Source organism: Homo sapiens, chromosome 6 (genome assembly GCF_000001405.40).
Source record: "Homo sapiens chromosome 6, GRCh38.p14 Primary Assembly".
Taxonomy (NCBI): Eukaryota; Metazoa; Chordata; class Mammalia; order Primates; family Hominidae; genus Homo; species Homo sapiens.
In genome coordinates, this window is record NC_000006.12 from 124,855,735 (window position 1) to 124,856,957 (window position 1,223).

Here is a 1,223-nt window from a genome sequence, read left to right on the forward strand (position 1 = left end):
ATTCCCTTTGAAAGCTGGCACAAGACAGGGATGCCCTCTCTCACCACTCCTATTCAACACAGTGTTGGAAGTTCTGGCCAGGGCAATTAGGCAGGAGAAGGAAATAAATGGTATTCAATTAGGAAAAGAGGAAGTCAAATTGTCCCTGTTTGCAGACGACATGATTGTATATCTAGAAAACCCCATTGTCTCAGCCCAAAATCTCCTTAAGCTGATAAGCAACTTCAGCAAAGTCTCAGGATACAAAATCAATGTGCAAAAATCACAAGCATTCTTATACACCAATAACAGACAAACAGAGAGCCAAATCATGAGTGAACTCCCATTCACAATTGCTTCAAAGAGAATAAAATACCTAGGAATCCACCTTACAAGGGACATGAAGGACCTCTTCAAGGAGAACTACAAACCACTGCTCAATGAAATTAAAGAGGATACAAAGAAATGGAAGAACATTCCATGCTCATGGATAGAAAGAATCAATATGGTGAAAATGGCCATACTGCCCACGGTAATTTATAGATTCAATGCATCCCCATCAAGCTACCAATGACTTTCTTCACGGATTTGGAAAAAACTACTTTAAAGTTCATATGGAACCAAAAAAGAGCCTGCATCGCCAAGTCAATCCTAAGCCAAAAGAACAAAGCTGGAGGCATCACGCTACCTGACTTCAAACTATACTACAAGGCTATAGTAACCAAAAATATCATAATGTTTTTATATGTTTTTAACCTAGGTTTACTTTTTAAAACTCAGAGTAACAAACCACTCCCTTCAGCTCACATAGGCATTTGTAACAACACAGCAATGCCACGCAAAGATTACTCTCACTTCACACTGATGAAATGGAATGGTCCGTTTTATACGTCATCTTGACTGGGCTAAGGAATGCCCAGACAGCTGGCAAAATACGATTTCGGGGTGTGTCTGTGAGGGTATTTCTGAAAGAGATTACCATATGAATCAGTAGATTTATTAAAGAAGATTTACCCTCATCAATGTGGGCCAGCATCATCAAATTCACTGAGTGCCCAAATAGCACAAAAAGGCAGAAGAAGGGTGAATTTGCCTTTTGCTGCAGCTGGGACATCCATCTTCTCCCATCTGGGGTACATTGATGCTCCTGTTTCTGGGGCCTTTGGGCTTGAACTGGAATTACACCACCAGCTTTCCTGGGCCTCCAGCTTACTGATGGCAGGTCCTGAGACTCCTCAGCCTCC

The 1,223-nt window shown here is 41.5% G+C and overlaps 1 annotated feature.

Moving 5' to 3' along the window:
• Nucleotides 776–976: a silencer, noted in NCBI's record as "peak6097 fragment used in MPRA reporter construct". NCBI's record gives its function as "represses an SCP1 promoter by STARR-seq MPRAs in K562 erythroleukemia cells {active_cell/tissue: K562}" and the evidence as "EXISTENCE:reporter gene assay evidence [ECO:0000049][PMID:32103011]".